Source organism: Homo sapiens, chromosome 15 (assembly GCF_000001405.40).
Source record: "Homo sapiens chromosome 15, GRCh38.p14 Primary Assembly".
NCBI classification, from domain to species: Eukaryota; Metazoa; Chordata; class Mammalia; order Primates; family Hominidae; genus Homo; species Homo sapiens.
The window spans coordinates 51767658-51785926 of NC_000015.10; the positions used below are offsets into that span (position 1 = coordinate 51767658).

General features: G+C 42.1%; 1 protein-coding gene across 2 annotated transcripts in view; it reads left to right on the forward strand.

Annotated features, from left to right (window-relative positions):
- TMOD2 (tropomodulin 2) overlaps positions 1–18269 on the forward strand; it is a 64767-nt gene that overhangs the window by 16061 nt on the left and 30437 nt on the right. The window contains exons 3-7 of one of the 2 annotated variants that reach the window (NM_014548.4): positions 605–761; positions 6055–6177; positions 9275–9361; positions 13387–13517; positions 15064–15171. In NM_014548.4, the coding sequence (NP_055363.1) occupies positions 605–761; positions 6055–6177; positions 9275–9361; positions 13387–13517; positions 15064–15171 (606 nt within the window). The remainder of the gene's footprint in view (positions 1–604; positions 762–6054; positions 6178–9274; positions 9362–13386; positions 13518–15063; positions 15172–18269) is intronic. The other variant, NM_001142885.2, reaches the window with a different exon arrangement.

Here is an 18269-nt window from a genome sequence, read left to right on the forward strand (position 1 = left end):
CAAAATAGTGATTTTACCATAAATAAAAATATAACTAAAACAAAATTATGTATATGGTATTCTGATATGTCAGATACTTTGGATATGGTATTTACTTTTAAAAATACAGATATTCTGTTGTTGTTTTTTTAAATTAAGGAAGGAATCTGAAAGCTTTATCAAGCAGGCATTAACATCATCATAGTGTTTACTTATCAGCTTTACTGCTTCTGCAGGAGAGGGGTTCCCCATGTCAGCTCCTTGTTAGAGTCTCATGTTTCTGCCTGGGAGCACCTTGGGTGCAGCCCTAGCCAAACCTAAGCATGATCTACAAGGAAAGAGGTCTTTTGCCTCCATGTTTTAGGAGGCAGCTTCAGAAACTCAGAGGCTGCTCTAGCCATCTATGCGCTGCTTGAGCTCATTGGGAGCCCCCTCTCAGCACTGAACATTATAACAAATAGGGCCTCAGAGGCGTCCCAGAGCCCCCAGCCCTCAGCTCACACGCACATTCTGCGTAGGTATCCTTCCTGCTTCCCCAGCACATAGTGAGTGGGGGTGGAAGAGGAAGTAGCAAAGTACAGGCCGGCAGACATCTTCCTTCCTGCTCACACCTCTTTCTTGTCAGAGTGCCATGCTGCCAGCTGGATTTCGACAGAAAGACCAGACACAGAAGGCAGCCACCGGCCCCTTTGACCGCGAGCACCTCCTCATGTACCTGGAGAAGGAGGCTTTGGAACAGAAAGACAGAGAGGACTTTGTGCCCTTCACTGGAGAAAAGAAAGGTAAGGACCACAGGCAGAGCATCTTGGAACAGAGGTTCTCTCTTTTTTTTTTTTGGAACGGAGGCACTCTTAATTAAGATTACCTCTTTTTATTTTATTGTCGTGGAGGATCAAGCAAGGGAACTGTCCCAGACATGGGAAATAAGCCCATGAATTGGATTCAGTATTTATTTTATTGTCGTGGAGGGTCAAGCAAGGGAACTGTCCGGGAAATGGGAAATAAGCCCATGAACTGGATTCAGTATTTATTTTATTGTCGTGGAGGGTCAAGCAAGGGAACTGTCTGGGAAATGGGAAATAAGCCCATGAACTAGATTCAGTATTTATTTTATTGTCGTGGAGGGTCAAGCAAGGGAACTGTCCCGGAAATGGGAAATAAGCCCATGAACTGGATTCAGTATTTATTTTATTGTCGTGGAGGGTCAAGCAAGGGAACTGTCCCGGAAATGGGAAATAAGCCCATGAACTGGAGTCGGTGTTAAAAAGAATCATGGCTGCTAGCTAGACATATGTCATTCTACATTGGGCCAAACCCATAAGATGTGTAACACCAAGAGTGAACCCTAATGGAAACTGTGGACATTGGGTGATAATGATGTGTCCATGATGGTTCATCAGTTGTAGTATAAGTATCGCTATGGTATAGGATGCCATTAGTCAGGGGAGGATGAGTTGGGGAGAGTACATTGAAAGAAAAAAGAAACACGATCAAATATGTAGGCTAACTGCTTATGGTGTGATGGTTCTCAAATTAGTTTAGTGAAAACATCTCGAACCCCAAAGAAAGTTTTGAAAATGTGAGGTGGTGTCATGCCTGAGAGTTTCCTAGGCACTGGTGTATTTCTCTTAGCCTGGTGCTTTACCAACTTCAGAAGTCCCTCAAGGCCTTCTGCTCCATGTCCAGGATGGCTCTAGCACTGCATCCCTAACCTTAGAGGCTACCATTAAAGTCTAGTGCAGTCATTCATGCATCCATCATCTACTGAGTGCCTCCTCTGTGCAGAGGCTTGTGGCCAGATGCTAGAACCACAGGCAAATAAGACCCTGCCCTGCCCTCAAGGAGCTTGTAGTGAGAGAAACAGGATGACAGAGCTAGGAAGGCTGTGAGAAGCAAGGAGTTGTTTTTCCATGCCAGGATTGAGCTCTGAGCCAAGAATAGGAAACCCTCCTCCTTAGCTCCCGACCCTGTGCTCCCCTTGGGAGGAAGAGTGACTATCAATAGCCTGTCCAGCTTCCCCAGCTATAGACAGTGACTTGAGCTCAAAGATTCTAATGGAATTATTGATAACCTCACAGCAACTACAATCTTTTTATAATACAAATCAGATCATGTCGGCTGGGCGCAGTGGCTCACACCTGTAATTTCTGCACTTTGGGAGGCTGAGGCAGGAGGATCACTTGAGCCAAGGAGTTCAAGACCAGCCTGGGAAACATGGCAAAACCCCATCTCTAAAAAAATACAAAAATTAGCCAAGCATGATGGTGCACCCGTGTTCCCAGTTACTTAGGAGCTGATATGGGAGGATTGCTTGAACCCAGGAGGTCAAAGCTGCAGTGAGCCGTGATCATGCCACTGCACTACAGCTTGGGCAACAGAGTGGAACCCTGTCTCAAAATAAATAAACAAACAAACCAAATCTTGGCATTTCCCTTCTTAAAGTCTCAAATCCTTACTGTGGTCTTTAAAGTAGATATAGCCTCCATCCAGCTCTCTACCTGCATCTGGCCTTCCCTTGCTAATCCTCAGCCCCCACTGTCTTCATTCACTCCCCTGAACCTGCTGAGTTCTTTTCCTCTCTCAGGCTGGTCTTCTCATGTACTCTTCCTTCTGACGCATGTCCCCATTTTTCACATCCTAAGGGTCTCAGCTTAAATTTCAGGGCCTCGGGCTTTCTCTGACCTCTCTTCTCTCTATCATGACAGCTGCTTATTGCTTTCACAGCACTGTAACAATGTTCATCACTTTACTTACTTTGGTTTTTGCATGTTTTCATGTGATAGGGTCTTTTTTTTATCCTGGCACAGCAACTGGCATGGGAGGCACTTGATAAACATGGGTTCCAGTGAATGGCATCTCAGAAATCTGTACTGCAGCAGTAGGAGCAGGAGCATCCAGCTCCTAGTTGGCATGAGGCAGAGTGCTACTGCCTTGTCTCACATAATGCCGAGGCTGCCCTCTGTATTGTGCACATTCAGTGGATCACACATCATTGAGAATGTCATTAAGAAAGTAAAATTGGGCCACATGCAATGGCTCACACCTGTAATCCCAGCACTTTGGGAGGCTGAGGTGGAAGGATCCCATGAACCCAGGAGTTCAGGATTGCCATGAGCTATGATCCTGCCACTGCACTCCAGCCTGGGTGATAAAGTGGATCCTGTCTCCAAAAAAATAATAAATAAATAAATAATAGTGAACAGTGACAAACCAGGCAAATAATCAAGGATTGCTGTGAAAATATGGATCTGTTTCTATAGCAACATAGTTGCTGTTGGACTAATTTAATTGTGAAAAAAATTATAATGTCAAATCTTCAATGAAGTCCCAATTAACATCAAGTAGTGACAGCATAATAAGTTGAAAGCTGTTATCTTTTGTTCTTAGTGTAGAGGTCTGAGGAGTGGCTATGGTAAATTATCTCATGATCAAGATTAATCTCCAGATGGTTGGTGGGGGAGTTAGGAACGTAGGAGCTGTCTGAGTAATAGTGATATAAAAGGGGTATACAGTTGCATAGTGTAGCTTAGGAGAAGGTTGAGAAGTAGCACAACTGAATAAAGTGAGCAGGGAGCAAGTTTTCTAATCAGAGCAGCAGAGCAGAGCGAAGAGTATGCAGGGGCCCCAGAAGGACCAGTGAACCATCCAGGAGCAGCGGGAGGCTACTATGAGGTCCTCAAGAGAGGCTGCACAACCACAGTTCTGAACACTATGTGCTGGCACACCTCAGGTTCCTGGGCTACATTTTACTCTGGTGCAGAGTTTTGCTTAGAACTTGTTATTTGGTTGGACCTCCAGGAATGGATCTGCATCAGCAGTTCTCCTGAATACCAATAGTTGTGTACTTCGTGTTTAGTACCAGGAAAGAGGAACTTAGAAAATCCTATATTAGGTTGGGCATGCCTCTAATCCCAGCACTTTGGGAGGCCAAGGCAGGAGGATTACTTGAGCCCAGAAGGTCAAGGTTACAGTGAGTTATGATTGCACCACTGCACTCCAGCCTGGGTGACGGAGTGAGACCCTGTCTTTAAAAACAAAGAAAGAAAGAAAGAAATCTTATTTTGACTCTAGACCTAAGATCATCTTGGCCAGAAAGAAAATGTTTCAGGCCATAGACGCTAGGAATGTTAAGTCTGAGATGAGCCCCAGTATTTGAGATGTTATTGATTAGTTGATTTCTTTTTCCATTTTCTATCTTCTGGCCATCCTCCTAATTTGTTTCCCAGTGTATTTTCCTTCTTTCTGAGAAATGTGGCAGCTAAAGTGATTCCAAGGCAGGAAGTAGGATGCATGTCAGTGATAATGACCTTGTTGCCAGGATGCCCCAGACTGACGACAAGCAGTGCCTTTCTTTCCTGTGTTTGGAGTGCCCAGCTCTGACACACTCCTGTTTGCTTATCCAGCCATTTAACAATATGGTAAAACAGGAAATACACAGACCTTGTAATCAGGGAAGTCTCCTGGAGAGTTCTCATGCAGGAGGGTTATTGACTTTGGGTTGGACCCTTTCCTTTCCCATAGGAGTGGGATAAACCAGGCTAGCGAAGGAGACCTGGAGAGAACTTGGGTCCCAATGGGCGGAAACTGGAGTGAGATGAGCCTTTAGGGAACTCTACAGATCAAAATGGAAGAGAACAATTTCAAAGACTGTGCCCCAAAAGTCAGAGCAGCTTCAAAAAAGAGAGAAACAAAGAGTCAAAAGCTGGGAATAATTAGAAAGGAATATGAATGCTCTGGGGTGTTTTGATCATGGCTCTAGAATGTCCCTGGTGCACGTGTGGGATGTGGATGTGTTGGCCTGGCTCGAAGTTAGGAGCAGGAACTGTGCCATCCTCCTGGGTATGGCAATGTTATTTCATCAGTCCAGAAGTTTGAGCTGGGAGTTAGGGAATAGATATCAGCATTTTCAGAAGTGAGCAGGGGACAAAATAAATGGAATCTTGCTGATAGGATGAAATGGGAGATGGTGGCAGAGGATGCATCTGTGGGAAGCACAGAATGCCTTGCTGCTCACAGAACCCCACTAGCTCCGAGTATAGTGACCCTGATTTTTCCTTACAATCATGCCTGCTTTGGAGACTCTAGAGAGGTGGCTATGTCCCCAGGTCACTACACTAGCCCACCTGGCCCCAGATATGGCATGCTAGTTGTCTGCATTCCCAATTTAGAGGGAGCGCTCCAGGGGATCACCAGTTTGTTACTCAGGAACCCCTAGTGCTGTTTAGATGAACCTGCTCCTAATATTTGCAGGGTCCAAGGCAAGTATACAAATAGAAGCCCACATGCCACATTTTCCAAATATTTAAAAGCTAACAAATCATTAAAATATGTTGTATCCTCCTTTAGATATACCTAGGAGGCCAGTATTCTTGGACTTCCAAGAGTTCCATGCAGGGATATTGATCTGTCCCACACTGCCAGGGCCTCAAACACACATGTTGGACACCCAAGCCCACATATCCAAGCTTCATCCAGGCTCCCCCACAAATAGCCTCCCCTTGACCTGAGGGTACACACCCAGCAGCATGACCTGCCTTCTGGAGGATAGACATGGGAAGGGGCTTGTGGAGGCTCTAGAGGCAGGCTCAGGGCTCTTTGGGCAAGGCATTCCAGGGTCCTAGGTACCTGAAGTGTGGTATAGAAAGTGGCCTATATGCTGGATGGGCATATCCCTTTGGCCTCATGGTTCCTCCCCTGGAGGGGAGAGGTACAGCCACAGGAAGACTAGTATGGGGTTCTCTAAAGTGCACGACTCAGGGCAGGGCCTCTCCTGCCCAGACCCAAGGGCAGTACTGCCAATAAGAGGGGTAGAAGCCACCATTTCCCTCTGTGTTTAAGGACTGTAGTCTCAGATCTCTGTGTGGCAGAATGCAGGATTCCTCCTCCAGTGTTCCTTCCCTCTGACAGTGACTTATTGATGTTGGTACCATCCTGGCAATCCAGGAATCTCGGTTGGATATGAACTGGCTTAATTATATGGGTCTCAATGGCCAGAACTGCATTCTCTGCTCAGTCTACTTACCCTACCAATAAGGCAGTAGTACTCAATATTTTTGTTTTTCTTCTGATTTAAAGGGAGAGTCTTTATCCCTAAAGAAAAGCCTATAGAAACTCGTAAAGAAGAAAAAGTGACCCTTGACCCAGAACTGGAAGAAGCTTTGGCCAGTGCCTCTGACACCGAACTCTATGATCTTGCAGGTTAGTCCTGAACTCTGGGAACTTTCCTGTCTGGCTCTATGACCTCCGAGCATGCACTGGCACCCATGGCAGCAGGCTTTGAGCTTCTCTTAGGTAGGAGAATGACAGGTTGACACAAGGCATTATGGAGCTGTAAGTCTTGATGCAGGTGACTTAAACTCTCTGAGCAAATGTTATTTTGCTCTATTTCAGCAGCAAATAATACCCATCTCACAAAACTCAAGAGTTACTGTGAGAAATTAAAGCAAACAAGTATGAAGGAGTGTTGAGAATTTAGAGAATAAAACAACAGCTCTTTTGCTTTCTAAGGAGCTTTCACATTTGGCATTTTATCATCACAACATTTCTATAAAGTTCTTGTTCTTCCCACAGTCATTGTTCCATTTTGATTCAGAAAACGCTAAGAAGTCCATTAGCCTTCTAGTCTTAACAATAGCAACATGATAATAATTATTATTATTTAAAATGCAGATAGAAAAAGGTCAAAGAGTACAAAAGAATGTGTAATGAAAAGTAAGTCTCTCGACCTGAATTACCTAGGCCCACTCCCATGTCTTGTACAGCCTTCAAGAAAGATTTTCTGCATCTACCAGTAGATTTATATATTAGATCTTCCTTCTACATACACAGGGTTATTAGATGACCACAGGATAGAGGTGCTTTAAAAACCAGTCCACAGCTTTAGCAAGAATTTTTATTCCATTGGAAGACATAGAATAATAACCTCTTTCCTCCCAGGAGAACCAGCCTTATTCTAAAATGTACCAGCCACCCCAACTGCATTTTCATTCCTTCTGTGATGATGTCAGGAAGTTCCCATGTTTGTGAACTTAATATTGACCATATTGACCACTGCAGGAGTTGAGGCGATGGCGTCACCTGGTAAAGAAGGTGTTTTGCACCCACTGGTCTTAGCCCTGGGGTTGCTGTGGAGGGATCCTGTTATGGCTACTGCTCCTCCCAGGGGTTGCCTCATGGTCTCTACCAGAATTGCCCAGAGGGAGAATGCAGGGCTGAACTTGAATTCCCAGGTAATGCCTTGAGAAAGGAAAAAGAGAAAAACACCAATTATTTGGAAGATACTAGATCCTGAAATTCATACAGTAAAACCAGAGAGAGAATCCAAATAGAAAACTGTCCTCGTTCATCCTTACTCAGCTTCCCTCCCTCGTCCTGTGTTCCCTAGGAATTCAGAAGGAAGCCTGGCTGGGGCTGTTGGCAGCATCTTTAGGGTGGGCCCTTCTGGAAGATTGAAGGCAGCCCCATGGGCAGATGAGCTGGCAGCCATTGAGTTTTAGATAAGAAAGAGTGTCGGCATATTGCCCATGTTATTGTGGCAGATAGAGAGCAGACAGAAAGTTCTTCAAGGGAGTGGTAGTTGACCTGCAAAACAGCACCTCTTACACTGGCTGGGTGTCAGTGTGGTCACCATCCAGAGTCTAGTTCCCAGCCCTAAACTGTGGGAGCTCTGGACTGGAAATTTGATCTTATCAGTATATATAGAAGCAGTCAGATTGGAGCAAAGTGGTGGGAACTGATCCATTAGCCCATTTCACAGATAACAGATAAAAATGAAAACCTGGCAATGGGAGCCAAATTATAATTAGAAGTTACTTGGTGAGCATAGGGCCAGAGCAAGAAGATATGTTTGTTGTATGGCCTCAGTGTTTATCAAATGGGACACCTTCTCCTTCTCCTGTCCCCTTCACAGAGACACAGTGACAAATTCTTTTTCCTTTTTTTTTTTTTTTTTTTTTTTTTGAGACGGAGTCTCACTCTGTCACCCAGGCTGGAGTACAGTGGCACAATCTCGGCTCACTGCAACCTCCACCTCCGGAGTTCAAGCGATTCTTCTGCCTCAGCCTCCCAAGTAGCTGGGATTACAGGTGCCCGCCACCACGCCCAGCTAATTTTTCTATTTTTTGTAGAGACGGGGCTTCGCCATGTTGGCCAGGATGGTCTCGATTTCTTGACCTCGTGATCCGCCCACCTCTGCCTCCCAAAGTGCTGAAATTACAGGCATGAGCCATCGCACCCGGCCCACAGTGGCAAATTCTTATTTATTTAACAAGAATTTGTAAAGCATTTAGAATAGTGCCTGACACATAGAAAGTCATTTAATCTTGGTAATAAAGTATAATTATTATCCCTGTTTTACAGATGAGGAAACGGAGACTCGGGCATTTAACAACTTCCCAAGTCACACAGTTTAACGTGGTCAGAGTCAGGATTCTTGACTGCTCCCAAGTCCCCCTCTTCACCGGGTCCTTGCTAGCTCTGACCATTTGCCCTTTCTTGTGCTGTGCCAGCTGCCTCCCTCCTTCAATATGTAGCTTACAGTAGAGCTGATAAGCATCTCAGAGGCACTCCTCTGCCACCTGTCAACAGATTATTATCCCTTCTGGGATCCTTCTTCAGGTGGCCAGTATCACCTGGAATTTCATTAGCAAAGGGAAATCTGCGTAGCAGTTGCAGGTTCAGTCAGCCCCGCATTCATTCTTCCCCAGTGTTGTTTCCTGCATTCTGTGCTGCCTCCTGGTGCAAGTTCTGTGTAATACAGGAAGCCGAAAATCAGTACGCTTAGCTGACCTTTTCTTTGCTGATGTTGCTTTTTTTTCCCCACCCTGGCATGCTCTAGAGACAATTATATTTGGTACTAAGAGATGAGGAGGCTGACATTGAAAGAGGCCTCTGGAAAAATATATGCAGTAATCTATATAATGTTAGATCTTAAAAACCCTTAGTCTCAGTCCCACCTTCTCATTTTACAGATGAGAAAACTGAAAGGTTTTCCTATTTAACTAGGAGGTCTAGGCAGATTTTCGGTAAATTGTGGCCATAATTAGCCACTGTTCCTCAGATCCTAAATGATTCTACATGTGGAGACGTAGAAAGACAGGAAGATTTCTGGTGGTCTTGAAAGGAGGTTTTTGTAAGTGTATTTAACGCTATACATGTACCACACACTGTGCAAGGAAAGAGGACTCAGGGACTTATCTTTATGATGTAAAGAATTGTTCTTCAAGGGACAAATTAACAATGTGGACATCCTAATGTGCTTCTCCAAACTTAATGCTCATTTGTTGACTGTTTTTAGCTGTCCTTGGAGTACACAATTTGCTCAACAATCCAAAGTTCGATGAAGAAACAGCCAACAATAAAGGTGGCAAAGGACCTGTCAGAAGTAAGTTGATGTGCAATCTGTGGTTTTGTAAAGCTTTGGAGCCTCCAGAGTTGCTGGTAGGAGAGAGGCCTGTTGAGTCTTGCAGGCTTTACACTCTGTCATTTTGCTAGGATCACTTGGGCTTTGAGCAATCAAACCAGAACAGAGCAGCTGACAATGAGAGCTCCATCTGGCGGTGAAACTAGTACAAATCAGTGTGTGTTGCCCAGAACACTTTCTTGGTAGGTCTGTTTAGTCAGAAGATGAAATTGTTGATATATGGGTCTGCATTAAATGGTATAATCCATATTCATGAAAAAAAATTGCTGATATAAGACTGCTTGGTCATCACAAAATGCAGCGTTTCATGTTCCTGAGGATGTTTTAATCAACTATAGTAGCTTAAATAAGTTCCCTTCTCTATTTGAGTGTCTTTTTGTCTCAATAATAGATGCTTGTCATTAGAATTTGAATGTCCACTTCCCTCAGAGGGCATGAAAGACACGCTGGCATGGACTTACGTGCACAGGACATTCCACACCACTATCTTCTATGTCAACGTTTCCTATAGACGTGTACAATTAATTAGACTTTTTTATTCATTCATTCATCAGTCATCCACTAAATACCTACTATGTGTCAGGAATGTTCTAGGCTTAGGTACAAAGATGAAAATGGTCCCTGCCCCACAACCAAAAAAGAGAATTTTAGACCAATATCCTTGATGAACATTGATGCAAAAATCCTCAATAAAATACTGGCAAACCGAATCCAGCAGCACATCAAAAAGCTTATCCACCATGATCAAGTGGGCTTCATCCCTTGGATGCAAGGAAACAACAGGTGCTGGAGAGGATGTGGAGAAATAGGAACACTTTTACACTGTTGGTGGGACTATAAACTAGTTCAACCATTGTGGAAGTCAGTGTGGCGATTCCTCAGGGATCTAGAACTAGAAATACCATTTGACCCAGCCATCCCATTACTGGGTATATACCCAAAGGACTATAAATCATGCTGCTATAAAGACACATGCACACGTATGTTTATTGCGGCACTATTCACAATAGCAAAGACTTGGAACCAAGCCAAATGTCCAACAATGATAGACTGGATTAAGAAAATGTGGCACATATACACCATGGAATACTATGCAGCCATAAAAAATGATGAGTTAATGTCCTTTGTAGGGACATGGATGAAACTGGAAATCATCATTCTCAGTAAACTATCTCAAGGACAAAAAACCAACACCGCATCTTCTCACTCATAGATGGGAATTGAACAATGAGAACACATGGACACAGGAAGGGGAACATCACACTCTGGGGACTGTTGTGGGGTGGGGGGAGGGGGGAGGGATAGCATTAGGCGATATACCTAATGCTAAATGACGAGTTAATGGGTGCAGCACACCAGCATGACACATGTATACATATGTAACTAACTTGCACAATGTGCACATGTACCCTAAAACTTAAAGTATAATAATAATAAAAAATTAAAAATTAAAAAAAAAAAAAGAAAGAAAGAAAATGGTCCCTGCCCAAGGGAATTTATCTGTCCAGGGTAAGGAAGGACCAATAACCAGATCATGTCAGTACAGTGTGATCCATGTGCTTTGAAAACTCATAGAAAATTACAGCTTTTTTTTTTTTTTTTTTTTTTTTTTCTTGAGACAGAGTCTTGCTCTGTCACCCAGGCTGGAGTGCAGTGGCACAATCTCGGCTCACTGCAACCTCCACCTCCTGGGTTCAAGCGATTCTCCTGCCTCAGCCTCTTGAGTAGCTGGGACTACAGGCATGTGCCACCACACCCAACTAATTTTTAGGATTACAGCTTTTCTTAGGTTAATTTTATTTTATTCACTTTAATAGAGACTTGGGAGATGCTTTCTAATCTCAGTAGCATATATATGAAATATTATTTATAGTGGTAATTTAGACACACAATGAGCAATATTCCTTTTATTTTTTTGAGATAGAGGCTTGCTCTGTTGCCCAGGCTGGAGTGCAATGGTGCAATCATAACTTATTGCAGCCTCCAGCTCCTGGACTCAAGCAATCCTTCCACTCAGCCTTCTGAGTAGCTGGGACTACAGGTGCATGCCACCACACTCAGTTAATTATTTTTATTTTTATTTTGTAGAGACAGGATCTTGCTATGTTGCTTAGTCTGGCCTTTCTTGTTATGCATATGGATAAAAAATGCTCATCCTTTTTAGCTTCAGCATCAAAGGGTAACGTTCTGACAATGTTTCCTATTAACAATCTGGTGCATAACCTTCTGGACGTTTATACGTACACATACAAATATTAACTTGTCTTCTAATTGTGGCCTCTTATCAGTACTTACAGGTTTCCTTCATTCTTTTAATGAGTAGATAACTTTTTTTTTTTTTGAGACAGAGTCTCGCTCTGTTGCCCAGGCTGGAGTGCAGTGGCACGATCTCAGCTCACTGCAAGCTCTGCCTCCCGGGTTCATGCCATTCTTCTGCCTCAGCCTCCCCAGCAGCTGGGACTACAGGCACCCACCACCACGCCCGGCTAATTTTTTTGTGTGTTTTTAGTAGAGACGGGATTTCATCCTGTTAGCCAGGATGGTCTCGATCTCCTGACCTTGTGATCTGCCCACCTCGGCCTCCCAAAATGAGTAGATAACTTTTTTAATGGATAGATAATGAAGATACTTTTTTTTTTTTGAGACAGGGTCTCATTCTGTTGCCCAGGCTGAAATCCAGTGTCACTACCAAGGCTCACTGCAGCCTCAAACTCCTGGGATCAAGGGATTCTCCCACCTCAGTCCCCTGAGCAGCTAGGACTACAGGCATGAACCATTACACCTGGCTAATTTTTAAAATTTATTGTAGAGGCTGGGTCTCACTGTGTTGCCCAGCCTGGTCTCAAACTCCCTGCCTCAAGAAACTCTCTTGCTTCAGTCCCCCAAAGTGCTGGGATTATAGGTGTGAGCCACCATGCCTGGCTCCTGAATAGATTCTTTTAACGAATAGACAATAAGTTGTTACGTGATGATGCTATACTTTATTTACCCATTTTCATATTGGTGGACATTTTGTTTATCATGTTTTGCTGTCACAAGTAATATTTCAGGGAACAGGGAACACCCTTGAATATATATCTTTATGTATCTGTGCTATTTTTGTAGGTAAGACTTCTAGATATAGAATTGCTGGGTCATAGAACATGCACATCTTAAATTGCAATAGATAATGCCAAATTACTCTCCCAAAACATTTGCATCAGATCACATTCCCACTTATAGAGGAGTACGAAGATGCTTTTTTCTCCACATTGTTGCCAACTCCAAATGTTACCTCGTTTCACACTTGTTTGCTAATGAAATGGTATCTCATTTCTTTATTTTGGAGCTTAGTTACTTTTTATATTTTTTGGTTGAGTGACAGATTCTTCTGAGCGTATTATTGGTTCATTTTTAATTGGGTCACCTTATTGATTTGTAGGAGCTCTGTGTATATTGGGATATTAATCCTTTGTATCTCTGTTAACTATTTTTGAGAATTCTTCCATTCTTCTTTTTTATCCCTTTCTCTCCCCATACCTTCCTTAAAACTAAAGCTCCAGAATAGAACTCAGAGGAGGGTAGGGTATAATCAAGAGGCCAGAGGGGTATTAAAGTTTGGGAAATGAAGACTTATTGTGGTGTCTGATTTGTATCTCAGATCCTGTAGTCTAGTTAGTATAGTCTGACAGATGTCCATATGGAGCAGCAATAACGGCCCATGGATATTTTGAAAGTTGGAGTTTGCTGCAGGGTCTCCTGAACTTTGGGTCCATGCAGTGTTAGCCCCAGGGAATTCTCATTGCAGTTGAGAAACACCAGCCTTCCAAGCTGTGACTCATAGCTATACCACTCCCATGCTTGCTTAGCTGAGAATACACCTACTGTCATTGCTATTAAAGTGTTATTGGAATCAGCATATGAAAGAAATGTCATTTTTTGGGAAGTCACCACTGATTTTGATAGGAGAGACTTTGCATTTTTTAAAATGAAAACTTGTGTTTTAGATGTTGTCAAAGGTGAAAAAGTAAAGCCAGTATTTGAGGAACCACCAAATCCCACAAATGTGGAAATAAGCCTGCAGCAGATGAAAGCCAATGATCCTAGCTTGCAAGAAGTCAACCTCAACAACATTAAGGTATTTCATTGTGATTATCATCAGTCAGTTAATTTATCATGAGGTCAGAAAACTTACCAGAGATGACCTATTGCTTGTTTTCACACCTGTTTGCAGTTCTTTGTAGTCACTGAGTTGGAGTCAAGGTATCCTATTCAAAAGAAGTGGGTTTTGGAAAACAGTGATTTCTATAATTATTTGAAAAGAATCACCATACCTGAGTTAAGCATAGTACATTAGTTATATCTATTGCTGAGTAACAAATTACTCCAAAACTTAGAGGCTTCAAACAACAGACATTTATTATTTCACACACAATTTTTCAGTGTCAGGAATCTGGTAGTGGCTAGCTGGATAGTGTGGCTCAGGGTCTCAAATGAGATGGTAGTGAAGTTGTCATCCAGGGCTGCAGTACCAGGCTTGCCTGGGGCAGGAGGATCCAGTTCCAAGATGGCAGATTCATGCGGCTGTTGGCAGGAGGCCTCCATTTCTCACCATGTGGCTCCCCAGAGCGAGTGATCCAAGACAGAGAGATGAGAAAGCAGGAAGCCACAATACCTGTTATGACCTGGTTTCTGAAGTCACATGTTGTCACTTCCACTTTATTCAATTTGATAATAAGTCATGCCACTCTCAAAGGGAAAGAGTAGGAGAGAGAGAGAGAGAGAGAGTGTGTGTGTGTGTGTGTGTAAACATTACCTGAAGTCTCTTTTGTTTATTCTTTTGGGGCCAATTCTTAGCATTTAATAATAACCAACTTTTATTGAGTACTTACTATGTGCCATGTCCTTTACTAAATACTTGGAATTTATTATCTCATTTAATTATTAGTTGGACTTAAAGAGTTGTTAACGTCATAGAGTTAGTCTGTAGTGCAGCCAGGACTCTTCTCCACTTCTAACTGCACCCCACATTGTCTCCTTCCCCAGTGGTCATTACTGTGCTAAATGATCTAGAAAAAGGACTACAAAGATAAATAAGATTTATTCAGTCTTTACTCTGAAAACAATTATATTAGGAGAAAAACACTAAACAGATAATTATAACATGATGTGGTGAGCCACCAAATATCATTGAATTGCAAGAAAGAAAAATTTTAATGCTACCTAGGAGATCCAGTAAACAAAGGAGATGATATTACATCTGAGTCTTGAAAGAGAAAAGGACAAAAGGAATTTCCAGGCTAAGGGGAAAGCATATATAAAGGTCTGAAAAAGAGAACGACTTTGGTATATTAAAACAGTGGCAAATACGTCAGTCTGGCTAGAATACAGAGTGAAAAATAAAAAGAGGGAAGTATAGTATCTGCATACTTTCTTGGTTAGGGAAAACAGAAAGACGACACTCAGAGGTACCATAGTGGTAGTTTAGATTCCCCTATTGGACACTAAGTGGTGCTGTTAGCTCAGGATAGCTTGGTTGCTGAAGGCTAGGTAATGACCCTCATTTAGAAGGGATATCGTGTATTTATCTACACATACCTGGTATTTAAAGGTTGTGGGTTCTTACCTTGGCAAGAGTGTGCCATACAATGGTTCATCAACTAGCCATGTCCTCTCTGTCTTAGAACATTCCAATTCCAACCCTGAGGGAATTTGCAAAGGCTCTGGAGACCAACACTCACGTGAAGAAGTTCAGCCTGGCCGCAACTCGCAGCAATGACCCTGTGGCCATTGTGAGTAAAATTCTTAGAAATATAACATGAAGTTATTTAATTCACTGGAAACTCTATTTACTTTGTTTCATTAGCTAACAATTTTTTAGATCTGGAAAACTTACCTTCTACACAGTTAGTGAGCAAAATTATAGTTACAATGCAATAGTTAAACTTCAGAACTGAACTGTCAGATGCTTTAAGTTATCTGGAATTTTGTCAGCATTACAGTTTTCAGAGAAAGAAACAAGATAAGTTTGGCATTTAACTAACTGAATATTTAGAGTTTGCTCTGTGCTTAGGATACATTTTCTAAAACTTTCACATCTACAGTCATTGGATATCATGACCCTAAAGCCCTTCAGGAATTAGGCATCTATAGAAATATTGAAGTAGCTGGGCGCGGTAGCTCATGCCTGTAATCCCAGCACTTTGAGAGGCTGAGGTGGGTGGATCATGAGGTCGGGAGTTCGAGACCAGCCTGGCCAATATGGTGAAACCCCATCTCTACTAAAAATACAAGAACTAGCTGGGCATGGTGGCACGCGCCTGTAGTCCCAGCTACTTAGGAGACTGAGGCAGAAGAATCACTTGAACCCGGGAGGCGGAGGTTGCAGTGAGCCGAGATCATGCCACTGCACTGTAGCCTGGGCGACAGGGAGACTCTGTCTCAAAAAAAAAAAAGAAAAATTAAAGTATATTTTAATCTTTGAAATGGATTAATATGTGTCTAAAATATCTTAGACAACAAAATCAGGAAACATTCTGTGTTTGACACCAGAATGTGAAAAAAATAGCCAGCCAGGTGTGGTAACGTACACCTCTGGTCCCAGCGACTTAGGAGGCTGAGGTGAGACAATTGCATGAGCCCAGGAGTTCTAGGCTGCAGTGAGCTATGATTGCACCTCTGCACTCCAGTCTGGGCAATAGAACGAGATGATAGATAGATAGATAGATAGATAGATAGATAGATAGATAGATAGATAAAAGAAAAATAGCCAACTAAAAGTTCTATTCTTCCTATGCATTTTAGATAATTTAGCCAAATAAGGAAGCCCCTTGTCCCAGGTAAATACTTATACCATCACTATCATGATTTTTATTCTTCCTATCAATAGCCAATTAGTAACTCCTCCTATTTATAGCTACTTTATTGAGGAATTAGTAAATGCCAGCACTGATCTTCGTGCTTTCCATGCAGCATCTCATCCATTTGTCACTGTAATACTATGAGGTATATACTATTATTAGTTCCAACTTTAACAAATGAGAAAACAGCTTCAGAGAGGTTAAGTAAGCTATCCAAGGTAATACAACCAGTAAATGGCAAAGCCAGAATTCACTACCAAGTCTTTCTGGTTCTACAGCCAGGAAGCTTAACCATCAAGCTATGCTAGATTTACACACAATGCCTGGCTGTCATACATTTGCTAAAATATGTCACTTATCAAAAGCCTGGGCATCAGCCTGTTGTTCTATGGCATTTAATGCTCAGCCCTTGAATCGAGTTAGAAAAACGCAAGTTGTCTGGACTTGATGGTTTGATTTAAAGTAACATGTCTTTTGGAAGATCTAAAATAGCATTTAAAACAGATGACATGAAAGTAATGACTACCTATCATGGTCCTGGCACAGAATAGATGTTTGACAAGTACTTGTTAAATAAATGAATGATCATAACCTCCAACCTCTAGCAATAGAGAATATTTCTATGGTGATCACAGCAAACTTGAAATAAGCACTCATGTAAAAGAGGAACCAGGCTACAAAAATCAATGTTTTTACCAGCAGTTATTACATTTCTAAATTCGTAGCTTGAAAGCAGTTTTGAATTTGAAACCTATCATTAAAATAGAAAGATGGCAGAACTAGATAATTGGTAAGGTGAAATGAGCAGTTTAAGGATTCTTATCTCTGTATGATTTTGTACTATTTCTGCCTTTTAGTAGATTTTTTTCAGTAAAGCAAAAATATTCACAATATACTTTGTATGTAAATGAATAAAGGGATAAAGAAATGATTTGTCACTTCTGTTTCATATATTATTTCGAGTAAAATTGCAGGGCTGGGGTTAGTTCACAATCAACTCTCAACACTACTGGTAAATAATCTAACTCCTATTCTAGACCAAATAAATAACTTACTAAGTGGATTAAATAAATTCCAAATATAATAATCACTTTGATGCTGTTTTTAATGCAACAACTATGTGTTGAATGCTTGTCATGTGAAAAGCACTACACTAGGAGCTGGATTTTTTGGGTAACACTTTTCAGGCAAATTTGACCTTTTGTAACTTGCTTTTTAAAGAATACTTTATTTGGGCCGGGCGCGGTGGCTCACGCCTGTAATCCCAGCACTTTGGGAGGCCGAGGCGGGTGGATCATGAGGTCAGGAGATCGAGACCATCCTGGCTAACAAGGTGAAACCCCGTCTCTACTAAAAATACAAAAAATTAGCCGGGCGCGGTGGCGGGCGCCTGTAGTCCCAGCTACTCGGGAGACTGAGGCAGGAGAATGGCGTGAACCCAGGAGGTGGAGCTTGCAGTGAGCAGAGATGGCGCCACTGCACTCCAGCCTGGGCAACAGAGTGAGACTCTGTCTCAAAAAAAAAAAAAAAAAAAAAAGATGAATGGATGAAGAAAATGTGGTATATATATGCACACTGAAATATTATTCAGCCATAAAAAAGAATGAAATCCTGTCATTTTCAGCACCATGGATGGGACTGGAGGTCATTGTGTTAAGTGAAACAAGCCAAGCAAAAAAAAATAAATATAGCATGTTCTCACTTACATGTAGGAGCTAAAAAAAAAGTGGTTCTCATGGAGGTAAAGAGTAGAATGGTGGTTACTAAAGCCTGGGAAGGGAAGGGAGTAGGGACAAAGAGAAGTTGGTTAAGAGGTACAAAAATACAGTTAGTTAGAAGGAATAAGTTCTTGTATTCAATAATTTATTATAAATTTCAAAATAGCTAGAAGAGAAGAATTGTAATGTTCCCAACACAAAGATAAGCCTTTGAGGTGATGGCTATTCCAATTACTCCAATTTGATCACTGCAAACACATTGTATAAAGGTATCAAAATATTACATACACCCCCAAAAATATGTACAACTAT